Genomic DNA, 26,960 nt, shown 5'->3' with positions numbered 1-26,960 from the left:
ATTTAAATTGTTGGCGAAATCCAGGGATTATAGCACTACAAGGGGGTATTTACAGTCCCAAAATGTGGTACCAGCCTATATGACCATTTTTTCCCTGCCAAGCATTTATCTTACTTCCACCATTGTCAGTTTTAAGGCAAGTTATCATTCTTCTCCCGTCAGCCTCTTCTGCTCCAGGACAGGCACCTGGGTTGCCGGCAAAGCCATCTAACAAATACATCTGCAGCACACTTGCACTACTCTGCTTTCTGTCCTCAATGTTTTTATATCCAACTTACCCTGAAAAAAGTTAAATCATCTGTTTGGAGGAAGTGATATGGCTAAGCCACAAAAGTGGCAACATCACTTTTCCCTAATAGTCAAAAGATAATCAGCAGGAAGAGAAACTTGAGGCTTAAATTTGATAATATAAATGACTTAAATTATTTTGATTAGGGTTATTCAACTGTGCTTCGAACGCTAACATCAGGCTCAGCTACTTTTGCCTTAGAACTATCTACTTATCAAGCCATGAATCCTCAAGATCAAAATACACTGCTCAACCGGAGAAGTGGTTTGACCTAAATGTTTTAGTTTTTGGAGAGAAATTCAGGAGCACCTAGCTACTTCATTTTCAGTAAGAACAATTTTTATTGCTTTATTTATTGGACGAATAAAGTACTGTTTCAGTACATTCAGAGAACTAGATAAAAGATATAACTTAAGCTTTGATAGTGGCACTGGAGCCACCCGTTTTAATTTATATAATGAGAAATGTGCTTTGATGTTTAAAGCCACTGTACCTGAATCATGCTGTTCATCTATGAAGTTATTACTATAAGTAGCCTTCAGAAGAGTGGTATCACAAAGTTGTGTTTCTTTTGTGTCCTTAAGCTTGTCTCACAAGAAAGATGCCAGGCCTCTAAATGTAATAAGATAGAGGGTCAAAGGTTCAATCAATAAAAATATTTTATTCAAAAAACAGTCTAATATCTTATTTTACATGATTTCAAAATAAAGTTGATTGTAGTACAGATTGCTGTGGCCTTTTTCCCCTCCATTTTTTACATGTTCTCATGGTTACAATATCCAGCATAAAGAGGTTGTGCAGCTATTCCACGTCTGTAGATAACATGAATAAAGATATTTTAGATTGATTTAGATTGATATCATTCATAAAGATATTTTAGATTGATATTCATGTCATCTTAGAAACTTAAATTAGAATCACTAAATCACAGCATTACTGAAAATAAGGGAAGAAAATTAAAGCAACTCAAGATGGAGTTCTAAGTTACACCAACATTTTTTGTATCTATAAAACAGTCACAAGTCTGAATATATCTTTACAGGTATTATTACTTACAAAAAAATAATTCCTGGTTTCTTCTAATTACTATTTGTTAGGTAACATACATTTCTATTTATAGCAAAAGAAACTAACACTGAATAAGAAGGTTAAAAATCACACTGGACTTAATAGATTTCTTACTCGACCATCCTGCAGCGGTGCCTTGTCAGTCTGTCATAGGCGTCATCCATATCTCTGACATCTTTGGAACTCCAGAGTCTCTCACCAACAGCACTTGCCCGAGGCCTAAAATTTAAATCACACATCCCCCCGCAAGCAGTTTAAATTTATGTTTAGCACTTTTGTGTTTAGACAGAGAAGGAAAGCTAAGGCACCTTAATTCTTAAATGTTATCAGGTAAATCCCATACCATAATCTTGGAGTGAGGTTAGTTGCATCCACATATTCTCCCCATAGACAAGCTTCTCCACCAATGAAAAGTTGTTTCTGTTTCTGAGTACCTAAATTAAAATCATTGAATTAAGTTCAGAAGTTCAAAGCTTATACACAGAGGCAATATTTCATCAAGATTTGTTTCCTCCATCTTTATCCTAGGGCAACATTTCTTGCCCGTGGTTAGCAGGACCTTGGGAGATGCTAATGGTTGTGGCACAAAAAAGATGGCCCCTCCTCTTCCCCCACCCCCCAAAAAAATGGTTGCAAACTTTATCCCCAGCCCTGACCCACGGTTCACAGCACGTGTTAGCACCATAGATTAATGTAGTGGGCCAGTATTAAACAGTTTTATTTTGGTTTTATGCAAACTTACCTGGACACCAGAAACCATTTTTTAAATCCCTGGTTGCCTATTTAGTAGTGTGCCAGGGAATAGAAGTTGGAATACTAGTTTTTTAGTGGACTGTGACCACCATGCCTACCTTTAATTTCTACCTCTTGGCATTTAAAACAGAAATTGAATACTTAATGTGTGTGTTTTTTTTTTTTTTTGAGATGGAGTCTTGCTTGGTCACCCAGGCTGGAGTGCAGTGGCGCGATCTTGGCTCACTGCAACCTCCACCTCCTGGGTTCAAGCAATTCTCTGCCTCAGCCTCCCGAATAGCTGGGATTACAGGTACCCATCACCACGTCCGGCTAATTTTTGTATTTTTAGTAGAGACAGAATTTCACCATCTTAGGCAGGCTGGTCTTGAACTCCTGACCTCATGATCCACCTGCCTCGGCCTCCCAAAGTGCTGGGATTACAGGCGTCAGCCACCGTGCCCAGCCACTTAATGCTTTTTAAAAATCAGTAATTATCGCTTTTTGGTCCTCATAAAATGCATTGTATATAAAATTATCAATTCTTAATAGACCTATGGTTTTGAAACTTTTTTAAACAGCAAAATCCTTTTTCAGTGATTTTTCACTAAAGGCTAATGTACAAAATTGGACAAACTAGAATGTTTTTTATGAAGGGGATCTGAGAGCCTGAAGCTCCACCCTTCAGATGTTCCCTCCTGTCCCATCCACCAAGGATTCTACTCCTCAGAATCCTAAGACAACACAGCCTGAAATCCACTGAACTAAAACTATAGCTTTGCTTAGGTGTCTTACATTGGAGAAGCAGTTCAGAAGAGGGCATGTAAGGTTAATGCAATCAAATACCTTTAGAATGTAGAGAGTGAGGAGCCATCACTGAAAATGGAGATAAAATCTAAGGGGATCTATAATACTTTTGAAGTTCTTGAATTTAGGCAACTGTATGGTTTCTTGAGAGTTTAAAATGATACTGAACTTAAAAAAACACATAAAATCAAGGATCAAACATAAAAGATAGTTGGTAGGTAATATCTAGGTAAAGACTTCTGGGGTGGGAGGTTAGGGAAGAAAACTCATAAAACAAAGGTAACAATGGTTGCTTCACTTACCATCAGCTTCACAGTAACCCACAACACTTGGACCAACTGCTTCACTTACCGCCAAAATCAAGAGGTTCCACTTTATAGTATTTCCTCCAATCTTGTCCATAGCTAATCAAATCTAAGTACCAAGGAGCAGAAAGGATTACAGGGAAGCCAGATGCTGTGACTCTACTGAGTTCCTCAGGATATGCGCTGTCTTTCCATACTTCAACTATTGTGCCCGGCGCAAGCTATTAACGTTACAAATTGCAATACATATTATTAGGCCTAGAACAGTAGATGAAATTGAAAGTTTAAGGCATTATTACTAGGAACATAATTTTCTAAGATCCTTAAAAAAAATCTGCATTTTCTTTTTCCTCTTTTCTTCAGAGTTAGTGCCATGTGATACTCATTTTAGGGACTTAAAAGTTTCATCAACCTTAGGTTTGAATATTTAACTTTTGCTTATATATGGATACCACATAGGTTCAGTTAACTAAAGCTGAGACTTGCATTTTAGTCTTATTTCTACCAAACCTAGCTTGGAACTATGAGGTCCAAAGTGGTCACTAACTACACTAGAAAGGTAATACTAGTAGTTAGACTTGCAAATTCCCAGTTGCCCCAAGAAAAATAATTAAGTCTCTTATATTGATCAGATGCAGTCTTCACAATGCTCACCTTTGCTTTATCATCAAAAACCTCCTGCCAGACAATGGATCCCTTGTTTATGGTTGCAATAATATCCAAAACCCTAGTATTACAAAAAAATTATAGTTATTTTAGATCATAAGCTTAACAATATATTTAAAACATGTACATTTTCTACCAAGGATTTCTTGCATTTTGAGAGGTGCCTTTTAGTATAGTTCAGCTTTATAGCAGAAGCAGCTCAAGTTGGGAAGTGTCACAAGTAGTTCCTCCTTTTTAGCACTTGATACAGAACCTAACATAGTATGGGGGTTTAATAATCATTTGCTGAATGAATGAGTTAAACATGCCCCTAAGATAGGAAGAAGTGGCCTCAAATTGAGTTGGTAGGCAACTCAGGAAATTGTACAAACAGCAATCTCTTACAATTTTATGGCTGTCTTAAAATGGTAGGGACCACGATCTAGCCTGTCATATCACATAAATTACATGTAACAGTTACTGACAATCCACAAATATTTACAGATATTTACATAATGCCAGGTGCTCTGCAGATAAATAACACTTAAATGCATCACACAAAAAGCTGAACAGGCAAAGGCTGGAATCTGGGCTTGCCAAATAAATGGTACAGCATAAGGGTTGGCAACTACAGCTTGCAGGCTGTTTTTGTATGTCTCATGGGCTAAGAATGGTTTTTATATTTGTAAAGCATTTTTTTTTAAGTTTTAAAATTTGAGGTTTTTTTTAAGTTAAAAAAAAATTGTATGTGGTCCATGGGCAATTGTATGTGGCCCATGAAGCCTAAAATCTTTACTCTCTGACCCTTTACAGAAAAAGTTTGCCAATCCCTCTAGAGCAGCACGGTCTAGTAGAACTTCCTGGGATGGAAATGTGTATATATATATATATATATGCATTTTTCAGTATGGCAGTCACTAGCCTCAGCTGGCTACTGAACACTTGACATGTGGCTAATGCAACTGAGTAGCTGAATTTTTAACTTTCATTAATTTTAATTAATTTACATATGGACAGACACCTGTGGCTATGGCTACTGTATTGGGTAGCACAGGTATATAGTAAAATATATGTTCCTGGAATTGACAAAATGGAATGAATTCCAGGGGCTGGATGGTAGTGAAGACTTCACAGGGTAGCCAGGGCTTCAAGCTGAGTTTTATATTTATTGATGGATTGATTGATTGATTGATTGAGACAGTCTCACTCTGTTGCCCAGGCTGGAGTGCAGTGGTGCGATCTTAGCTCACTGTAACCTCCATCTCCCAGGAGATTCTCCCTCAGCCGCCCGAGTAGCTGGGACTACAGGCACCTGCCACCATGCCTGGCTAATTTTTTCATTTTTAGTAGAGATGGGATTTCACCATGTTGGCCAGGCTGGTCTCGAACTCCTGGCCTCCGGTGATCCACCTGCCTCGGCCTCCCAAAGTGCCGGGATTACAGGTGTGAGCCACCATGCCCAGCCCAATCTGAGTTTTTAGAACAGATGACTGCCTTCCTATATTTCAACAGCTATTGGAAAATACTTGGAGTCACCATGTTACTGATTTAAAGCAAGCAGTGGGTATTGCCTCCTTTAGTGATTTTTCACATCTACACTTAGGCAAAGGATGTAGAGAAAATGTAAAAAATAAAGCACATTACTAAATAAACTTTTACAAAAAGCATTAATACAGAAATAGGCTTTCAAACAACTTACTTTTGAATGTAGAAAGATTCTAGTTTCTTAAAATCTGTGCCAAAGCCTTTTTGCCTCATGAAATCTTGAATTTTTGGATTTGATTCCCTGAAGCAAAAAGTGATTAAAATTTCATTAGAAGTTTGATATGCTCAGTTTATTATTTAGAGCAGTATACATGCCTAACATCAGTTGTGCAGACTTAAAACTATTAAAGTTTGTAGGTAGTAAAAAGAAGCCTAAAAACTTAATTACAAGTTATCTTAATTATCCATTGCAAACAATTTTTTCAAGAAGCTGATTTCCTTTAAAAATGGCTTTCTTTACCTTACCACCTTTCTCCTCCATCTAAAGCTATTTGCAGAGAGAATTTTTATTTGAAAAATCTTTCCTATTTAATCATTGATTGCCCTCTTTCACTAAAGGTGTTCTCATTTCACAGTAGTCTTTTTTTGAATCTCCATTTTCTTCTGCATCTTGTTTTTCCTCAAGCTTTACTTTGCCATACCAAAATGTACATTCTCCACAAATCTACCATCTCAGGAGTCATGTTGCCCAGTTTAAACCCTTACAAGCAGGCATGTTACTCTTAAGTCTTCCTTATGGTGTGGAGCCCTCTACAGCTACTTCAATGCAACAGGTTTTTTATTCCATTTTTTTTTTTTTTTTTTTTTTTTTGAGATGGAGTCTCACTCTGTCACTCAGTCTGGAGTACAGTGGCATGATCTCAGCTCACTGCAATCTCTTCCTCCCAGGTTCAAGAGATTCTCCTGCCTCAGCCTCCCAAGGAGCTGGGATTACAGGTACCCACCACCACGCCCAGCTAATTTTTGTATTTTTAGTAGAGATGGGGTTTCACCATGTTGGCCAGGCTGGTCTTGAACTCCTGACCTCAGGTGATCTGCCTGCCTCTGCCTCCCAAAGTGCTGGGATTATAGGCGTGAGCCACCGCACCCAGCCTCTCTTTTTTTTTTTTTTAAAGGGGTTTTAAGGAATCATCTTACCAACATTTAAATTCCACTTCATCTCCTCCCAAATGAATGAATTGATCTGGAAACACCTCACTAATTTCTTTGAAAAATGTAGTAAGGAAGCTGTATGTTGTATTCAGAGTAGGGTTTATAGGTCCAAAAGAGTCCAACTTGTTTTGTCTACTGTAACATGGAGTCAGGAGGTCTTTCTGACCTAGAAGAAAATATTAAGATTCTTTTTAAAAGAAGTGTACTCATTATAAAGATCTGGTTTTCCACATGATTTTACTACGTCATTTTATTGAAGCTACAAGATTTTATACACAAAAGATGAACATGTTTACTAAGAGCTAGTAATTTCTTCCAGATAAGAAGGGTTTCCTGAATCCTGTCTCTTTGCCTCTTTGTTTCCCATTATATCTGAGATTTTATCTATGTCAAATGTTAGTAACTCCCAAATCTTCAGTTTGCCTCAACGCTTTTTCTTGAGCTTCAATTCATATTTCAAATTCCCTGCTGGATACAACTGAATATCCTAGCTGTACTTCAAATACAAGCTAACAAAAAACAACATCTGCAGTCCTTAAGCTCCCTTCTCTAGCTTCTCCTGATTTTCGTATTCTAATAAGGGTACCATCGTCATCCTAGAGTATATACCTCCTCTCTCCTGGAGTCCATCAGTTGCCAAATTCTATGGATATTTCCAGAATGTCTCTCAGTTCTGTCCATTATTTTACATTCCCACTATCACCCTCCTGGTCCAGAACTCCAATCTGTCACTTTCCCAAAGGTTTTCCCAAAGTGTGGTTCCCATCATGTTACTCCTCTGCTCAGAAATTTTCACTGGTTTCCAGTGTGTCCTGATGAAGTTCACATTCCTCACCAAAGGCCCGCTAATGTGCTTTTCCAGATTTACCTCTCACTATTCCCCATGTCTACTCTAATAATATTGAGCAATTATAAATGCTTGGTACTGTGCTATGTGCTTTACATTATTTAATTCTCAAAAAAATTACATGATAGCTACTACTAATTCTCATTTTAGAGATGGAGAAACTGAAGATGAGATATTGTAACTTGCCCAAGGTCACCTAGTTTATAATGGCAGAAGCAAGATTCAAACCCAAGCTGTCTGGCTCCAAAGCCAAAGTTCTTAATCACCACCCTATAATGCCTCCTACTCTGCTACACTCTACTCCAGCTACATACTTGTCAAGCATATCTTACACTTTTTGCACACATTTCCTTATGCCATTTCCTCTACCAGAAACATGAATATATTCTGTGATCACTCAAAAGCATTTTAAGTGTTACCTCATCTATGAAACCATTTCTTGAATTCACTTATCATGTTCTACTTTTTGTAATCACTTTTTGTTTTCTTTCATTCCCTTTTTTATACTTTAGGCAGTACCTAATCACAATGACTTGCTCACAATAGACACAGAGTAGCTATTGAATTGTATCTGTCAATAGTATTACTGATAGGCCAATCACAATTAAGAACAAAATGAGCAAACACTAGGTCATAAAATAAGAAATGCAATACCTCAAATATTCACTTTTGCAACTTATAAAATACAACTCCTGGCCAGGCGCAGTGGCTCACGCCTATAATCCCAACACTTTGGGAGGCCGAGGCGGGCCGATCATGAGGAGGGGAGATCAAGACCATCCTGGGTAACACGGTGAAACCCCGTCTCTACTAAAAATACAAAAAATTAGCGTGGTGGCGGGCGCCTGTAGTCCCAGCTACTCAGTAGGCTGAGGCAGGAGAATCGCTTGAACCTGGGAGGCAGAGGTTGTAGTGAGCCAAAATCATGCCACTGCACTCCAGCCTGGGCAACGGAGTGAGACTCCGTCTCAAAAAACAAAACAAAACAAAAACAAAAATTAGCTGGGCATGGTGGCGCATGCCTGTAGTCTCAGCTACTCAGGAAGCTGAGGCAGGAGAATCGCTTGATCCTGGGAGGTGGAGGTTGCAGTGAGCCGAGATTGTACTACTGCACTCCAGCCTGGGTGACAGAACAAGACTCCATCTCAAAAAATAAAAAATAAGATAAAATGAAATAAAATACAACTCCTTACCTTTTCCCCAAGATAGTGTATGCCCAGGGGTATCAAATTCTGGCAGGACTCGAATTCCTCGTAATCTGGCATATTCAATCACCATACGGACATCATTTGGTGTATAAACATGAGACAAAGAATAGCTTCCCTGTAAAAGCCATATTTATTCAAGTTAAAATGTACAACGTAGATTTGATCCTGGAAATTGTTAACAATTGTGCTTGCATTTGATATTTGACAGCTAATTTTTTCACTATGACAATGTATTAGTTTCATGTGATATTAGATGACTCATTTAAAAATAATATAGTGCCATAGTTTCAGGAGTAGAAAATTTCAGAAAGAAAATTTCTACTAAGTCGTACATACTCAAAGGATGATAGCCATTTTGGGGCTTTTGTCAAATCATTTGTTTACCATATTTTAGCAATAAATTCTCAGTATACTTTGGGCTAACCGCAGATTTACTGGTAGAAATATCTGTCTCCATCAGTGCCTCCTGTTTCAAGAGTTTCTACTATCATGCTGTTTCAACTTCCATGTAAGAATACAACAAAACAAATGTCTCCAAAGTGAAACTTCCGAAAACACTGCTCTTGTCAATTTTAGAGTCAAAATGCACACCTTATTACAAAGCATAGCTGTTGTCCTTCAAAGGACTATCAGCTTGAATTACTATAAGCTTGAAAAATTCCCATATAGACTCCAGAATAAGTGACTTGTTTTTTTTTAATGATTACCTCAGTCCCTTTATAGGTCACTTGAAAAATTAGAACTCAATATTGTTTGTAACTAAAGTTGTGAGCTGTTCCTTAGCACATTTCTCAAACTATGGCCTATAAGTGCTCAGTTGCGGAAAAGCAGTCTTGTCTCCCAGCACTGCAAATCAAATTTCTATCAAGACTAGATTCAACTACCAGTTTATAGTAAATACAGGGACATATTAATTGACACTGTGGGGTGCAATCAGCAAAACCCAGACTGTGGGAAACTGTAGGACACATGACTCAGTTTCTTCAACAACAATTACAGGAGAAAAAGGTGGGAAGAGCAGACCTGTAGATCAAAAAAGAATTACTAGACATATTAACTCACCACAATTATGGAGCTTATTTGTATCCCACTGCAAATGTTTTAAAATAATTTTTTAAATAAGAGAAAAAGACAGTTGGAGAAATGTGAATTTTTTTTTAAAATTTAAAGCATTTCTTTTTTTTATTATTATCATACTTTAAGTTTTAGGGTACATGTGCACAATGTGCAGGTTAGTTACGTATGTATACATGTGCCATGCTGGTGCGCTGCACCCACTAACTCGTCATCTAGCATTAGGTATATCTCCCAATGCTATCCCTCCCCCCTCCCCCACCCCACAACAGTCCCCAGTGTGTGATGTTCCCCTTCCTGTGTCCATGTGTTCTCATTGTTCAATTCCCACCTATGAGTGAGAATATGCGGTGTTTGGCTTTTTGTTCTTGTGATAGTTTACTGAGAATGATGATTTCCAATTTCATCCATGTCCCTACAAAGGACATGAACTCATCATTTTTTATGGCTGCATAGTATTCCATGGTGTATATGTGCCACATTTTCTTAATCCAGTCTATCATTGTTGGACATTTGGGTTGGTTCCAAGTCTTTGCTATTGTGAATAGTGCCACAATAAACATACGTGTGCATGTGTCTTTACAGCAGCATGATTTATAGTCCTTTGGGTATATACCCAGTAATGGGATGGCTGGGTCAAATGGTATTTCTAGTTCTAGATCCCTGAGGAATCGCCACACTGACTTCCACAATGGTTGAACTAGTTTACAGTCCCAACAGTGTAAAAGTGTTCCTATTTCTCCACATCCTCTCCAGCACCTGTTGTTTCCTGACTTTTTAATGATTGCCATTCTAAATGGTGTGAGATGGTATCTCATTGTGGTTTTGATTTGCATTTCTCTGACGGCCAGTGATGATGAGCATTTTTTCATGTGTTTTTTGTCTGCATAAATGTCTTCTTTTGAGAAGTGTCTGTTCATGTCCTTCACCCACTTTTTGATGGGGTTGTTTGTTTTTTTCTTGTAAATTTGTTTGTGTTCATTGTAGATTCTGGATATTTCCTTTGTCAGATGAGTAGGTTGCGAAAATTTTCTCCCATATTGTGGGTTGCCTGTTCACTCTGATGGTAGTTTCTTTTCCTGTGCAGAAGCTCTTTAGTTTAATTAGATCCCATTTGTCAATTTTGGCTTTTGTTGCCATTGCTTTTGGTGTTTTAGACATGAAGTCCTTGCCCATGCCTATGTCCTGAATGGTAATGCCTAGGTTTTCTTCTAGGGTTTTTATGGTTTTAGGTCTAACGTTTAAGTCTTTAATCCATCTTGAATTGATTTTTGTATAAGGTGTAAGGAAGGGATCCAGTTTCAGCTTTCTACATATGGCTAGCCAGTTTTCCCAGCACCATTTATTAAATAGGGAATCCTTTCCCCATTGCTTGTTTTTCTCAGGTTTGTCAAACATCAGATAGTTGTAGATATGCAGCGTTATTTCTGAGGGCTCTGTTCTGTTCCATTGATCTATATCTCTGTTTTGGTACCAGTACCATGCTGTTTTGGTTACTGTAGCCTTGTAGTATAGTTTGAAGTCAGGTAGCGTGATGCCTCCAGCTTTGTTCTTTTGGCTTAGGATTGACTTGGTAATGTGGGCTCTTTTTTGGTTCCATATGAACTTTCAAGTAGTTTTTTCCAATTCTGTGAAGAAAGTCATTGGTAGCTTGATGGGGATGGCATTGAATCTATAAATTACCTTGGGCAGTATGGCCATTTTCATGATATTGATTCTTCCTACCCATGAGCATGGAATTTTCTTCCATTTGTTTGTATCCTCTTTTATTTCATTGAGCAGTGGTTTGTAGTTCTCCTTGAAGAGGTCCTTCACATCCCTTGTAAGTTGGATTCCTAGGTATTTTATTCTCTTTGAAGCAATTGTGAATGGGAGTTCACTCATGATTTGGCTGTTTGTCTGTTATTGGTGTATAAGAATGCTTGTGATTTTTGCACATTGATTTTGTATCCTGAGACTTTGCTGAATTTGCTTATCAGCTTAAGGAGATTTTGGGCTGAGACAATGGGGTTTTCTAGATATACAATCATGTCATCTGCAAACAGGGACAATTTGACTTCCTCTTTTCCTAATTGAATACCTTTTATTTCCTTCTCCTGCCTAATTGCCCTGGCCAGAACTTCCAACACTATGTTGAACAGGAGTGGTGAGAGGGGGCATCCCTGTCTTGTGCCAGGTTTCAAAGGGAATGCTTCTAGTTTTTGCCCATTCAGTATGATATTGGCTGGGGGTTTGTCATAGATAGCTCTTATTATTTTGAGATATGTCCCATCAATACCTAATTTATTGAGAGTTTTTAGCATGAAGGGTTGTTGAATTTTGTCAAAGGCCTTTTCTGCATCCATTGAGATAATCATGTGGTTTTTGTCTTTGGTTCTGTTTATATGCTGGATTACATTTATTGATTTACGTATATTGAACCAGGCTTGCGTCCCAGGGATGAAGCCCACTTGATCATGGTGGATAAGCTTTTTGATGTGCTGCTGGATTTGGTTTGCCAGTATTTTATTGAGGATTTTTGCATCAATGTTCATCATGGATATTGGTCTAAAATTCTCTTTTTTGGTTGTGTCTCTGCCCGGCTTTGGTATCAGGATGATGCTGGCCTCATAAAATGAGTTAGGGAGGATTCCCTCTTTTTCTATTGATTGGAATAGTTTCAGAAGGAATGGTACCAGTTCCTCCTTGTACCTCTGGTAGAATTCGGCTGTGAATCCATCTGGTCCTGGACTCTTTGGTTGATAAGCTATTGATTATTGCCACAATTTCAGCTCCTGTTATTGGTCTATTCAGAGATTCAACTTCTTCCTGGTTTAGTCTTGGGAGAGTATATGTGTGGAGGAATTTATCCATTTCTTCTAGATTTTCTAGTTTATTTGCATAGAGGTGTTTGTAGTATTCTCTGATGGTAGTTTGTATTTCTGTGGGATTGGTGGTGATATCCCCTTTATCATTTTTTATTGCGTCTATTTGATTCTTCTCTCTTTTTTTATTAGTCTTGCTAGCGTTCTATCAATTTTGTTGATCCTTTCAAAAAACCAGCTTCTGGATTCATTAATTTTTTGAAGGGTTTTTTGTGTGTCTATTTCCTTCAGTTCTGCTTTGATTTTAGTTATTTCTTGCCTTCTGCTAGCTTTTGAATGTGTTTGCTCTTGCTTTTCTAGTTCTTTTAATTGTGATGTTAGGGTGTCAATTTTGGATCTTTCCTGCTTTCTCTTGTGGGCATTTAGTGCTATAAATTTCCCTCTACACACTGCTTTGAATGTGTCCCAGAGATTCTGGTATGTTGTGTCTTTGTTCTTGTTGGTTTCAAAGAATATCTTTATTTCTGCCTTCATTTCGTTATGTACCCAGTAATCATTCAGGAGCAGGTTGTTCAGTTTCCATGTAGTTGAGCAGTTTTGAGTGAGTTCCTTAATCCTGAGTTCTAGCTTGATTGCACTGTGGTCTGAGAGATAGTTTGTTATAATTTCTGTTCTTTTACATTTGCTGAGGAGAGCTTTACTTCCAACTATGTGGTCAATTTTGGAATAGGTGTGGTGTGGTGCTGAAAAAAATGTATCTTCTGTTGATTTGGGGTGGAGAGTTCTGTAGATGTCTATTAGGTTCACTTGGTGCAGAGCTGAGTTCAATTCCTGGGTATCCTTGTTGACTTTCTGTCTCGTTGATCTGTCTAATGTTGACAGTAGGGTGTTAAAGTCTCCCATTATTAATGTGTGGGAGTCTAAGTCTCTTTGTAGGTCACTCAGGACTTGCTTTATGAATCTGGGTGCTCCTGTATTGGGTGCATATATATTTAGGATAGTTAGCTCTTCTTGTTGAATTGATCCCTTTACCATTATGTAATGGCCTTCTTTGTCTCTTTTGATCTTTGTTGGTTTAAAAGTCTGTTTTATCAGAGACTAGGATTGCAACCCCTGACTTTTTTTGTTTTCCATTTCCTTGGTAGATCTTCCTCCATCCTTTTATATCGAGCCTATGTGTGTCTCTGCCCGTGAGATGGGTTTCCTGAATCCAACACACTGATGGGTCTTGACTCTTTATCCAATTTGCCAGTCTGTGTCTTTTAATTGGAGCATTTAGTCCATTTACATTTAAAGTTAATATTGTTATGTGTGAATTTGATCCTGTCATTATGATGTTAGCTGGTTATTTTGCTTGTTAGTTGATGCAGTTTCTTCCTAGTCTCGATGGTCTTTACACTTTGGCATGATTTTGCAGCGGCTGGTACTGGTTGTTCCTTTCCATGTTTAGTGCTTCCTTCAGGAGCTCTTTCAGGGCAGGCCTGGTGGTGACAAAATCTCTCAGCATTTGCTTGTCTGTAAAGTATTTTATTTCTCCTTCACTTATGAAGCTTAGTTTGGCTGGATATGAAATTCTGGGTTGAAAATTCTTTTCTTTAAGAATGTTGAATATTGGCCCCCACTGTCTTCTGGCTTGTAGAGTTTCTGCCGAGAGATCCGCTGTTAGTCTGATGGGCTTCCCTTTGTGGGTAACCCGACCTTTCTCTCTGGCTGCCCTTAACATTTTTTCCTTCATTTCAACTTTGGTGAATCTGACAATTATGTGTCTTGGAGTTGCTCTTCTCGAGGAGTATGTTTGTGGCATTCTCTGTATTTCCTGCATCTGAATGTTGGCCTGCCTTGCTAGATTGGGGAAATTCTCCTGGATAATATCCTGCAGAGTAGGACTTGGTTCCATTCTCCCCGTCACTTTCACTTTCAGGTACACCAATCAGATGTAGATTTGGTCTTTTCACATAGTCCCATATTTCTTGGAGGCTTTGTTCATTTCTTTTTATTCTTTTTTCTCTAAACTTCCCTTCTCACTTCATTTCATTCATTTCATCTTCCATCACTGATACCCTTTCTTCCAGTTGATCACATCAGCTCCTGAGGCTTCTGCATTCTTCACGTAGTTCTCGAGCCTTGGCTTTCAGCTCCATCAGCTCCTTTAAGCCCTTCTCTGTATTGGTTATTCTAGTTGTACATTCGTCTAAATTTTTTTCAAAGTTTTTAACTTCTTTGCCTTTGGTTTGAATTTCCTCCTGTAGCTCGTAGTTTGATCTTCTGAAGCCTTCTTCTCTCAACTCATCAAAGTCATTCTCCGTCCAGCTTTGTTCCATTGCTGGTGAGGAACTGCGATCCTTTGGAAGAAGAGAGGTGCTCTGCTTTTTAGAGTTTCCAGTTTTTCTGCTCTGTTTTTTCCCCATCTTTGTGGTTTTATCTACTTTTGGTCTTTGATGATGGTGATGTACAGATGGGTTTTTGGTGTGGATGTCCTTTCTGTTTGTTAGTTTTCCTTCTAACAGACAGGACCCTCAGCTGCAGGTCTGTTGGAGTTTGCTAGAGGTCCACTCCAGACCCTGTTTGCCTGGGTATCAGCAGCGGTGTCTGCAGAACAGTGGTTTTTCGTGAACCGTGAATGCTGCTGTCTGATCGTTCCTCTGGAAGTTTTGTCTCAGAGGAATACCCGGCTGTGTGAGGTGTCAGTCTGCCCCTACTGGGGGGTGCCTCCCAGTTAGGCTGCTCAGGGATCAGGGACCCACTTGAGGAGGCAGTCTGCCCGTTCTCAGATCTCCAGCTGTGTGCTGGGAGAACCACTGCTCTCTTCAAAGCTGTCAGACGGGGACATTTAAGTCTGCAGAGGTTACTGCTGTCTTTTTGTTTGTCTGTGCCCTGCCCCCAGAGGTGGAGCCTACAGAGGCAGGCAGGCCTCCTTGAGCTGTGGTGGGCTCCACCCAGGTGGAGCTTCCCGGCTGCTCTGTTTACCTAAGCAAGCCTGGGCAATGGCGGGCACCCCTCCCCCAGCCTCGCTGCCGCCTTGCAGTTTGATCTCAGACTTCTGTGCTAGCAATCAGCGAGACTCCGTGCACGTAGGACCCTCCGAGCCAGGTGCAGGATATAATATCCTGGTGTGCCGTTTCCTAAGCCCGTCGGAAAAGCACAGTATTCGGGTGGGAGTGACCCGATTTTCCCGGTGCCGTGTGTCACCCCTTTCTTTGACTAGGAAAGGGAACTCCCTGACCCCTTGCGCTTCCCGAGTGAGGCAACGCCTCACCCTGCTTCGGCTCGCGCATGATGCGCTGCACCCACTGTCCTGCGCCCACTGTCTGGCACTCCCTAGTGAGATGAACCTGGTACCTCAGATGGAAATGCAGAAATCACCCGTCTTCTGTGTCGCTCATGCTGGGAGCTGTAGACGGGAGCTGTTCCTATTCGGCCATCTTGGCTCCTCCCCCCGAAATGTGAATATTGATTAGCTGTCTAGATTACTCTTAATTTTTTAGCTGCAATCATGTATTATGGTTATTTTTTCTTAAAGAACAGGCCTTTTTACAGTGAGATACAATGATGGATTTTATTCAAAACAACAGGATGGGGCAGGGCTTGTCCGCAGGAGTTTAAGTGATACAAGGTTGACCATGTATTCATGTTTGAACTGGCATGATGAGAACATGGGAGTTCATTAAACTATTCTGTATCTGTATATGTTTGAAATTTGCCATAATAAAAAGTAAAACAAAAGGAAACAAAAACACAAGTGCTGTTAGCACATTTTAGCCTACATACCTAACATTGGAGAAAGTTTTGGAATTATGGCCGGAGGACAGAATTTAGAGTCCTGGCTCTGTCCCTTCCTAACCACAACTTTACACAAGGCACATCATTTCTCTGGATGTCAGGTACCTTCTTTGTATTACAGGGGTATTAAACTAGGGGACACTGAGGGTCCCTCCCAGATCCATTGGTCCATGATACAGTCAATTTGAACACTGTTAACTGAGACTACCATTATTTTCTAAGAAAACACTCTCACCTCTAAAATTCCCTACTTCATGTAGTTTCTCAGAGAGAAAAATAGTCATTTATGGATTTCCAAACAATTATGTTTAAAACAAATACACTGTTGGACAACTTGATAAATATATTATCTTAACCATATGTAATTTGAGAATTATTCAGGGCTTCTACCTTGTTAAATTTCGATTTACACTTCCCCAAGATTGTTTATATTCACAGTAACAATTACAGTAACCGTTATAACAATAACAAAAAAAGTTTTATGGATGTAAAATGCTAAGTCACAGCCAAAAAAATTAAAAACCATAAACATCTGATTTTTACACTTTGATTCTATCCATAAGAACAAACATTTAAGCTACAAACTTGTAATGAAACTATACCCAATGTTTTTGTAGACAGAGTACAATACAATTTACTCACTTTATTGCTTAACTCAGGAAAAGTGATGCTCTGATATGGGAAAGACTGGTCATCAACTATGTGCCAGTGAAGAACATTAAACTTATTAAAAGCCATGGCATCCTGCAAGCAAACATATTTAAAAATTATTTACTGCAGATATCATATACAATCCATATTACCTATCTACATTTGGAATTGCTTCCAATATGTCTGCTTCCTTTAAAACTTTTTTTTTTTTTTTTTTTTTGAGACAGGGTCTCACTCCATTGCCCAGGCTGGAATACAGTGGCATGATCTTGGCTCACTGCAGCCTTGACCTCCCAGTCTCAAGTGATCCTCCCACTTCAGCCTCCTGAGTAGCTGGGACTACAGGCGCCCACTACCATGCCCAGGTAATTTTTGTATTTTTTGTCGAAACAGGGTTTTGCCATGTTGCCCAGGCTGGTCTGGAACTCCTGGGCTCAAGCCAACCACCCGCCTTGGCCTCCCAAATTGCTGGGATTACAGGCATGAGCCACCACACCTGGCTAAAATTTATCTTTCAGCAAAGAAAGAATGAGAAGAAATAGAAATTCTTCATCATATATACTTCACATGACACATCAGTATACAAAAAGCCTCTGGAGATGTTGTATTTATTCTAGACGGTGAGTTGTAACTTTGCTGTATGGGAGGAGAGCAAGATTCCCAATATGTAGCAGTCTGCCAAGAATGCAAAATGGTTCTTGGCTGCCACTGTGTTTGGGAATAGAGCAAAGGAAAAACGGAGCATTCATTTAAGTACCAGGACTTATAATTCCCACAGTTCTGAAATTTGAGTCCCAACCAAGAATTTCATTGCAAACTCAATACAATTCCCCCAGAGAAATTTTTGGGCAAATTGAGTTATTAATTTTATATATACTCTAGAGGAATAACCAATATAATATTTATATAAAATATAAACACTATTTTTAAAAGATGAAAAACAATAAGGGAGAAGATTTGTCCAACAAGATCATCAAAACTTAAAGACTCCCTCTTCATCAAGGCTGAAGGGATTTGGCTGATGGAGTTAGGACATCTTTTACATACAAGGGGATTGTGCAGATAAATATATTGAGGATAAAAGGAGGGTTTTCACTCTCAGAGAAGGGAGCCAGAAATATAGGTGTTAACTGGAATTGAGCTTATTAATACAAACTCATGGTTTTTAACATAGACCAGGGGTTGGTAAACATTTTACATAAAGGGCTAGACAGTAAATATTTTGGCTTTGCAAGCCATAGAGTTTGTTACACCTACTCCACTCTGCAATTGTAGAGTGAGACAGTATGTAAACAAACGTACGTGCCTATATTCCTGTAAACTTTATTTGTGAGGCCAGACACGGTGGCTCACATCTGTAACCCCAGTACTTTGGAAGGCTGAGGCAGGAAGATCACTTGGGCCCAGGAGTTTGAGACCAGCCTGCATGACATAGTGAGACCCTATCTCTACTAAAAAATTTTTAAGAAATTAGCTGGGCATCGTGACACATGCCGGTAGTGCCGGTAGTCCCATCCATTCTGGAGGCTGAGGTGGGAGGATTGCTTGAGCCTGGGAGGTTGAGACTGCAGTAAGCTGAGCTCATACCTCTGCACTCCAGCCTGGGGGTGACAGTGAGACCAAAACCCCATGTTTGTGAAAATAGATGGTGAACTGGATTTGGCCTTTGGGGTATGGTTTGCCAACTCCTGATATTAGCAGATATAGAAATAGGGAAAGATGTGTGTGTATTCATACAAATGTATACATACACAGGTACACACGTTTTCTAGCTCTCTCTGCTCAGAGGGTCTACAAGCAATGACATCCTAGTAGCAATGAGCACACCTAGAGCCTAGATATTGGTTTCAAAATGTTGTTCACCACTAAAAGGGTTCCTTGAAGAAAAGTCTGAGGACACAGAAAAGACCGGGACAGGGAAGACAGGCCTGAAACATCATGTGCCAAAAAGTAAGACAGTGCTCCAAAATTAAAGGGAACCTGCAAGGGATGTAAGAGGCAACTTGAAGGACTTCCAGTGACCAAAGCTGGGATAATTTGACTATTAAACAAGGAAAGTGGCTGGGCACAGTGGCTCACGCCTGTAATCCCAGCACTTTGGGAGGCCAAGCTGGGTGGACCACCTGAGGCTAGGAGCTCGGGACCAGCCTGGCCAACATGGCGAAACCCCATCTCTACTAAAAATAGAAAAATTAGCTGGGCGTGGTGGCGGATGCCTGTAACTCCAGCTACTCAGGAGGCTGAGGCAGGAGAATCGCTTGAACCTGGGAGGCAGAGGTTGCAGTGAGCTGAGACTGCACCATTGCACTCCAGCCTGGGCGACAAGAGCGAAACTCCATCTCAAACAAACAAACAAAAAAACAGGGAAAGTAACAGATTACAATCCTGAATAACATAGTAACCCATGAGTCCACACTGATAAAAATAACGAATACTTAAATAAAAGAGAAGGGATTGCTCTACCTTACACTGAAATGCCAAGTAATAAATGATAGAAGGAGTGATGGAATTAGAAGCATCACCACTCGGTAGCCACCTTAGTAATAACTGATTTAGGCAAGAATCATCTGTGGATGCTAAAACTAGTGAGTGAACGCTGGATGAAGAATGGGATTTTACACGGTCTCAAGATTTCTTCCCACAAGATACTTAATTACTTGTTAAGTACAAAATGCTTTTTAATTAACATCACAGTGGAGAAACCTGGCAGATGACATCTTAGGCAAGTTATAAGTGAACAATACCAGAAATGAAATAAATAAGACATTGTGTCACCTGATAAGCACTGAGAAGAACACAGCATCATTTCTGCTTTATTCCTGCCAAAAATGCATAACTGAATATTATCTTCTGGAAAATGGACAAGCTAAGGCATACTCTACAAAGCAACTGGCCTATACTCTTCAAAAATGTCATGGTCTTAAAAGACAAGGAGGCCGGGCGCGGTGGCTCACGCCTGTAATCCCAGCACTTTGGGAGGCCGAGGCGGGCGGATCACGAGGTCAGGAGATCGAGACCATCCCGGCTAAAACGGTGAAACCCCGTCTCTACTAAAAATACAAAAAATTAGCCAGGCGTAGTGGCGGGCGCCTGTAGTCCCAGCTACTTGGGAGGCTGAGGCAGGAGAATGGCGTGAACCCGGGAGGCGGAGCTTGCAGTGAGCCGAGATCCCGCCACTGCACTCCAGCCTGGGCGACAGAGCGAGACTCCGTCTCAAAAAAAAAAAAAAAAAAAAAAAAAAAAAGACAAGGAAAGATAGTCAGTTGCAGATTAATGGTGGCCAAAGAGACATACAAGTAAACGGAACACCTGATTTTGGATGGGATGTGGAACCTATAAAAGACATTGTTGGAACAATCGAAATTTGAATGGGGTCTGCGTATTAGATGCAGTATTGTGTCAATTTCCTGATTTTGATGGTTGTACTGAAGTTATTAAATGTCCTTTTTTTAAGAAATTCATCCTGAAATATTAAGGGGGTATTGATGCATCATATGTGCCCATGTGGTTTAGAAAACGTATTTTTAGAGAGGGAGAATAAAGCAAATATATAGCTTAAATAAATTTAATATTTAATAAATACAATAAAAATTTTAAAGTGGAGTATCTGGGTAAAGAGTATATAGGAGTTCTTTGCACACTATTTACAACTTTTCCCTAAGTTTAAGACTTCAAAATACAAACAAAAACAAAAATAAAAACTGCTAAAGCTATAGAAATTAAAACCACATGTACTGGCCCAAGAAGATAAAGTAGTAAAGATTATGACTTCAGAAAGTAACTTCCATATTTATTGGAATTTAGTATTTAATAATTATAACTGAATTTAGTATTTAGTAATTGTCATTGAAAGCAATAGGGAATTGTAGATTGCTCAGAAATGAGGGGATTACTGGCTAACCATTTGGAAAGTAAAATTAAAATACCTAATAGGTTTGATACACTAAAGTAAATTCTAATAGAATCAAGAATTTAATAAGAAAAAGTATAATGATACTAAAATAAAATTTAAGAGGCTATTTTTATATTTATATCCTTGTTGTAGAGGAGGATTCTAAGCATACTTCCCAAAGCCAAAAATGATAGAAAGGATAACATTGAAATATACTACTCCTTTAAAGAACTTGTGGCTGGGCATGGGTGGCTTATGCCTGTAATCCCAGCACTTTGAGAGGCCAAGGCAGGTGGATCGCCTGAGCTCAGGAGTTTAAGACCAACCTGGGAAATGTGGCAAAACCCCATCTCTTAAAAAAAAAAAAAATGTTAGCAGGGTTCTTTGCTAAAAAATAAAAATAAAAAAATTTTGCCAGGCATGGGGGCTCACGCCTGTAATCCCAGCACTTCGGGAAGCTGAGGAAGGTAGATCACCTGAGGTCAGGAGTTCAAGATCAGCCTGGCCAACATGGTAAAACCCTGCCTCTACTAAAAATATAAAAATTAGCCAGGCATGATGGCGGGCACCTGTAATCCCAGCTACTTAGGAGGCTGAGGCAGAAGAATCACTTGAATCTGAGAGGCGGAGGTTGCAGTGAGCTGAGACCGCACCATTGCACTCCAACCTGTGCAACAAGAGCAAAACTCCGTCTCAATAAATAAATAAATAAATAAAATGTAAATGTCTACAGGCATTATAAACACAGTTATTAAAACAAATTTAGAAATTTAGAAAAAATTCACAACAACATATGATGGGTAAGTATATAATATAAATATAAGGTGGAGTATGGTGCCTCATGCCTATAATCCCAACACTTTGGGAGGCCAAGGTGGAAGGATCATTTGACACCAGGAGTTTGAGGCATTATGGTGAGACCCTATCTCTACACAAATTTTTTTTAAATATAAAAAATTTAAATTAATTAAATTTTAAAAATAAGATACATATAAGCAAATATAAAAGTATCAGTGGCACAATCTATAGACAACTATAACATTAAAACATTAAACCAATAAAGAAGGTATTCACATTCTAGACGACAAAATAAACATAGAAAATAAACTTACAGCTGGGCACAGTGGCTCATGCCTGTAATCCTAGCACTCTGAGAGGCCGAGGTGGGCAGATTGCCTGAGCTCAGGAGTTTGAGACCAGCCTGGGCAACATGGCAAAACCCTGTCTCTACTAAAAATACAAAAAATTAGCCGGGTGTGGTGGTGCATGCCTGTAATCCCAGCTACTCAGGAGGCTGAGGTCCAAGAATCGCTTGAACCCAGGAGGCAGAGATTACAGTGAGCCAAGATTGTGCCACTGCACTCCAGTCTGGGCAACAGAACAAGACTGTCTCAAAAAAAAAAAAAAAAAAAAAAAAAGGAAACTTACAGTTTATAATATAAAATATACAAATAATTAATATGTAAAAAAAAGGCTTATATTCACTAAAAAGCAAGGAAGTGCACATTAAAACAAGGAGATATATTTTATCATTAGATCAGCAACAAACATGGCAAAGATGTACCACACTGTTGGCCAAGCATATGTGGCTATGACCGACCTGTCTAGAAGGCAGCCTGACAGTATATACCAAAAGTTAAAATGTACCAAAAAATAAAATATATACATCTTAAGCCCAGAAATTCACTTCTAAGAATTTATCCTCCAGAAATAATCTTATCAAGTGTACAAATATATATGTATAAAACACTGCAGTAGTATTTATGATAATAGTTAATTAACTTAGATGTCCATCAGCATGAGACTAAATAAAATGAAATATTCAACTGTTAAAAGAGTAGCAAAGGCCAGGTGTGGTGGCTCACATCTGTAATCCCATCATTTTGGGAGGCCAAGGCAGGCAAATCACTTGAGGTCAGGAGTTCAAGATCAGCCTGACCAACATGGTGAAACCCCATCTCTACTAAAAATACAAAAATTAGCCAGGTGTGGTGGTGGGCACCTGTAATCCCAGCTACTCGAGAGACAGAGGCAAGAGAATTGCTTGAACTCAGGAGGCGGAGGTAGCAGTGAGCCGAGATTGTGCCAACTGCACTCCAGCCTGGGTAACACAGCGAGACTCTGTCTCACAAAAAGAAAAAAAAGGGGGTGGGGGGTAGCAAAAGTACAGTCTCATTTAAGTTTTTTAAAAAGTCACATTGTATATGTTAATATATTCATTTTGTTTGTTTGTTTTGAGATGGAGTCTTGCTCTGTTGCCCAGGCTGGAGTGCAGTGGCGTAATCTTGGCTCACTCCAACCTCCCTCTCCCAGGTTCAAGCGATTTTGTGTCTCAGCCTCCCAAGTAGCTGGAATTACAGGCGTGCACCACCACGCCTGGCTAATTTTTTGTATTTTTAGTAGAGATGGGTTTCACCATGGTGGTCAGGCTGGTCTCGAACTCCTGACCTTGAATGATCCACCTGCCTCCACCTCCCAAAGTGCTGGGATTACAGGCGTGAGCCACTGTACCCCACCTAGTATATTCATTTTTTAAGTCTAAAATGAGACAAGTAGCACATAAAAATGTATGTCAATCTTTGGCAAATGAAATTATGGGATGACTGCCTATTTTATGCACATTTATATTGTTTAAACTTTTTACACTAAGCATCTGTTTCTTAAAAGTGACAAGACTGTCTTTTGGAGAAAAAATTCAGAGTATTAATGTAAATGTAAAAATAATTTTTAGGCCAGGCGTGGTGGCTCACACCTGTAATCCCAGCACTTTGGGAGGCTGAGGCAGGCGGATCACAAGGTCAGGAGATTGAGAACATCCTGGCTAACATGGTGAAACCCTGTCTCTACTAAAAATACAAAAATTAGCTGGGTGTGGTGGTGTGCACCTGTAATCCCAGCTACTCGGGAGGCCGAGGCAGGAGAATTGCTTGAATCCGGGAGGCGGAGGTTGCAGTGAGCCAAGATTGCACCACTGCCCTCCAGCCTGGCGACAGAGCAAGACTTCAACTAAAAAGAAAAAAAAATAATAATAATAATAATAATTTTTGGCTGGGCACGGTGGCTCACACCTGCAATCCCAGCACTTTGGGAGGCCAAGGCAGGTGGATCACCTGAGGTCAGGAGTTCGAGACCAGCCTCAACATGGAGAAACCCCGTCTCTACTAAAAATGCAAAATTAGCTGGGCGTGGTGGTGCATGCCTGTAGTCCCAGCTACTCAGGAGGCTGAGGCAGGAGAATTGCTTGAACCTGTCAGGCAGAGGTTGCAGTGAGCCGAGATCGCGCCATTGCACTCCAGCCTGGGCAACAAGAGCGAAACTCCGTTTCAAAATAAATAAATAAATAATAATAATAATAATTTTTAAATAGCATAGTTTCATCATAATGATCAAGTGAAGGTGCAAAAAAACATGGGAGGAAACCTCCCCACCCCTACAAATTGGCAGGTGATGGTGGGGATTAACCAATAAAAAAAAGCCCATAGGAGAAAACAGTTATTGTCAACCTTCTTCCTAACCCATACCACCCCTGAGGTTCCATATTCCTTTGGAATAGTTCCCTAGGTATAAAGGAGCTCCCGGACTCCTTTCTAATGCCACTTACAAAAAAAGTAAGAGGTGGTCACAAAATTTAAATGGCACTAACTAGAAGTATGGTGTGGTGGCCACGTATTCCTTTTTTTTTTTTTTTTTTTGAGACAGAGTCTTGCTCTGTCGCCCAGGCTGGAGTGCGGTGGTGCGATCTCGGCTCACTGCAACCTCCACCCGGGGAGGGTTCAAGCAATTCTCCTGTCTCAGCCTCCCTAGTAGCTGGGATTACAGGCGCACGCTACCACGCCTGGCTAATTTTTGTATTTTTAGTAGAGATGGGGTTTGGCCATGTTGGCCAGGCTGGTCTCGAACTCCTGACCTCAGGTGATCCACCTGCCTCAGCCTCCCAAAGTGTTGGGATTACAAGTGTAAGCCACCGCACCTGGGTGGCCATGTATTCCTAATCAAAAGTCTAGACACATGATTTGACAAATGGGAGTATATGTAAAGGGCCAATGGGCAGTGTTTAAACTGTCCTTCTCTTAACAGTCTTGGCTAAATACATGTTATACGTGGCTCTCGCACTGAAAACAGGAGGGTGATTCTCAAGGGGACCTCCACGTCACAGCTGAGGAAATACACTTCCCTAGGAACTGAGGAAAGAATGCCCAGTGCTTATACAAATTCCCCTGTTCCAAACTACACAATAGTAACCAACATAAAGTTACAACATAAAGGAGACATCTTCAGAATAGACAACAGATTAGAATGAAGTAATTACTTACCAGAGTTTTAAGAATAATCTTAACTGGCAGATAATGTCTGGATGTATCAATCAAAATTCCTCTGTGAGAAAACCTTGGAGAATCAATAATGGTGGATTCATTGATGGTGAACTATGACAAAATAAAATTTTGATTTAGTTTTAGAATTTTCTGTTGTCTTGAACTCAATGAAGACTAAATCTATTTATACAAGCATTTCATAAAATATTAATTTAGAACAACAAAAATGTATGAAATTTACATTTACCGGCTAAGACAAATATCTGGGGAAATGAAATCTTCAGGAAGCAATAGCTAAACAGGTTACATTTTTTTCTATTAGCAATTTGTCTAACAATTTTTAGTAACATATAATAATCATACTTACAGTTCCATAAGAATCTTGATAAACTAACTGGCTAAAGGTCTCTAAACCTGAGGAAAGTAAAATTTATTGCATTAATTTATAAATCAACAAATTGAGATGATAAAAGTTATATTATTCAAACAGACTCATAACCAGGTAAGGCAAATATAATTGAATATAGTGTTATACCTCTATCCTCTAAAATATATTGTTATACCTACACCCTCTACCATAATTTCTAAAATCAAAGCCAAATTAAAAAAAAATCCATTGCACTTCTCTACTCATCTAATAAAAGTGCTTTACTTCATTGTACCCATACCCTGGGGGTTGTTTCAATATAGACAAAAGAAGAATAGTAATTTAATAAAATACTGGTTCCTTAATAAATTTATGGCATCATGAGAAAGAATTTTTATAATCAAATATAGTCACTTTTAGAAGGTATCTAAATGCAACAGGGAAAAATGGCTGGAAAAACCATGAAACTATAAATAAAGGCCAATTTACAATATACAGCATTTTACTTATAGCTGCAAAGACTACCTTCTGAACATTTTTTACTCAAGTGGATTATTCCCTTAATATACTAGTTGACAGGCTAATTCTTCTAACTGGCCTTGACTTTATTCAGATTCCTCATTCTAGCTGACAGCTATATAGCCAGGGAATTTTTAACCTAAGAACAGTTCAGTCATCTTTGCTACGCCTTCCTGTCTCTCCAACCTCGTCAAGTACAGGTTCATGCTGGGAAGAATAACTCTGAAAGTTTCTGTTAAGTGACATTACGTTCAATAATGATCAGTTTAGAGTACATTACTCTGAAAGTCTGATGGTAAACAGAAAATATGGACTTCTTGGACTAGAAATCTAGTCACTGCATACTCGCAAGAGTGGTTTTATCTTTTTTTTTTTTTTTTTAGACGGAGTCTTGCTCTGTCACCCAGGACGGAGTGCAGTGGCGCGATCTCGGCTCATTGTAACCTCCACCTCCCGGGTTCAAGTACTTCTCCTGCCTCAGCCTCCCAAGTAGCTGGGACTACAAGCGTGCACCACCATGCCCGGCTAATTTTTGTATTTTTAGTAGAGATGGGATTTCACTGTGTTGACCAGGCTGGTCTCCAACTCCTGACCTCAAGTGATCCACCCACCTCGGCCTCCCAAAGTGCTGGGATTACAGGCGTGAGCCACCGTGCCCAGCCTTGCTAGAGTTCTTTATTTTGGTATGGATCAGAACAAACATCAATAAGCGTCTCTTGGCTGGGCGCAGTGGCTCACGCCTGTAATCCCAGCACTTTGGGAGGCCAAGGCAGGTGGATCACGAGGTCAGGAGATCGAGACCATCCTGGCTAACACAGTGAAACCCTGTCTCTACTAAAAATACAAAAAATTAGCCAGGCGTGGTGGCAGGCGCCTGTAGTACCAGCTACTCGGGAGGCTGAGGCAGGAGAATGGCATGAACCCATGAGGCGGAGCTTGCAGTGAGCTGAGATTTCACCACT

General features: G+C 39.6%; 2 protein-coding genes across 10 annotated transcripts in view, besides 2 other annotated features; one reads left to right on the top strand and one right to left on the bottom strand.

Annotated features, from left to right (window-relative positions):
* The window catches only part of GFM2 (GTP dependent ribosome recycling factor mitochondrial 2), a 45,912-nt gene extending 44,899 nt beyond the window's left edge, over nucleotides 1-1,013 (top strand). For all 8 annotated transcript variants that reach the window (NR_104006.2, NM_170691.3, NM_032380.5 and 5 more), the window contains one exon: nucleotides 436-1,013. Coding sequence is in view for 7 of the 8 variants with exons in the window: in NM_170691.3 (NP_733792.1) it covers nucleotides 436-564 (129 nt within the window). In the remaining variant the exon portion in view is untranslated. The remainder of the gene's footprint in view (nucleotides 1-435) is intronic.
* The window catches only part of HEXB (hexosaminidase subunit beta), an 81,266-nt gene continuing 55,236 nt past the window's right edge, over nucleotides 931-26,960 (bottom strand). For both annotated transcript variants that reach the window (NM_001292004.2, NM_000521.4), the window contains exons 4-14: nucleotides 25,480-25,526; nucleotides 25,113-25,223; nucleotides 16,899-17,000; nucleotides 8,584-8,713; nucleotides 6,529-6,709; nucleotides 5,546-5,632; nucleotides 3,856-3,928; nucleotides 3,248-3,422; nucleotides 1,701-1,791; nucleotides 1,472-1,576; nucleotides 931-1,101 (exon numbers count right to left, since the gene is read on the bottom strand). In NM_001292004.2, the coding sequence (NP_001278933.1) occupies nucleotides 1,044-1,101; nucleotides 1,472-1,576; nucleotides 1,701-1,791; nucleotides 3,248-3,422; nucleotides 3,856-3,928; nucleotides 5,546-5,632; nucleotides 6,529-6,709; nucleotides 8,584-8,713; nucleotides 16,899-16,994 (996 nt within the window). In that variant the 5' untranslated portion in view covers nucleotides 16,995-17,000; nucleotides 25,113-25,223; nucleotides 25,480-25,526 and the 3' untranslated portion in view covers nucleotides 931-1,043. The remainder of the gene's footprint in view (nucleotides 1,102-1,471; nucleotides 1,577-1,700; nucleotides 1,792-3,247; nucleotides 3,423-3,855; nucleotides 3,929-5,545; nucleotides 5,633-6,528; nucleotides 6,710-8,583; nucleotides 8,714-16,898; nucleotides 17,001-25,112; nucleotides 25,224-25,479; nucleotides 25,527-26,960) is intronic.
* Nucleotides 15,049-15,549: an enhancer, noted in NCBI's record as "H3K4me1 hESC enhancer chr5:74002495-74002995 (GRCh37/hg19 assembly coordinates)". NCBI's record gives its function as "activates a minimal SCP1, AML or CMV promoter by ChIP-STARR-seq in primed H9 embryonic stem cells {active_cell/tissue: H9 hESC(primed)}" and the evidence as "EXISTENCE:reporter gene assay evidence [ECO:0000049][PMID:30033119]".
* Nucleotides 15,550-16,050: an enhancer, noted in NCBI's record as "H3K4me1 hESC enhancer chr5:74001994-74002494 (GRCh37/hg19 assembly coordinates)". NCBI's record gives its function as "activates a minimal SCP1, AML or CMV promoter by ChIP-STARR-seq in primed H9 embryonic stem cells {active_cell/tissue: H9 hESC(primed)}" and the evidence as "EXISTENCE:reporter gene assay evidence [ECO:0000049][PMID:30033119]".

This window comes from Homo sapiens, chromosome 5 (assembly GCF_000001405.40).
Source record: "Homo sapiens chromosome 5, GRCh38.p14 Primary Assembly".
Taxonomy (NCBI): Eukaryota; Metazoa; Chordata; class Mammalia; order Primates; family Hominidae; genus Homo; species Homo sapiens.
The sequence above is the reverse complement of the archived record's forward strand: the minus strand, read 5'-3'. Positions and strand labels throughout refer to the sequence as shown.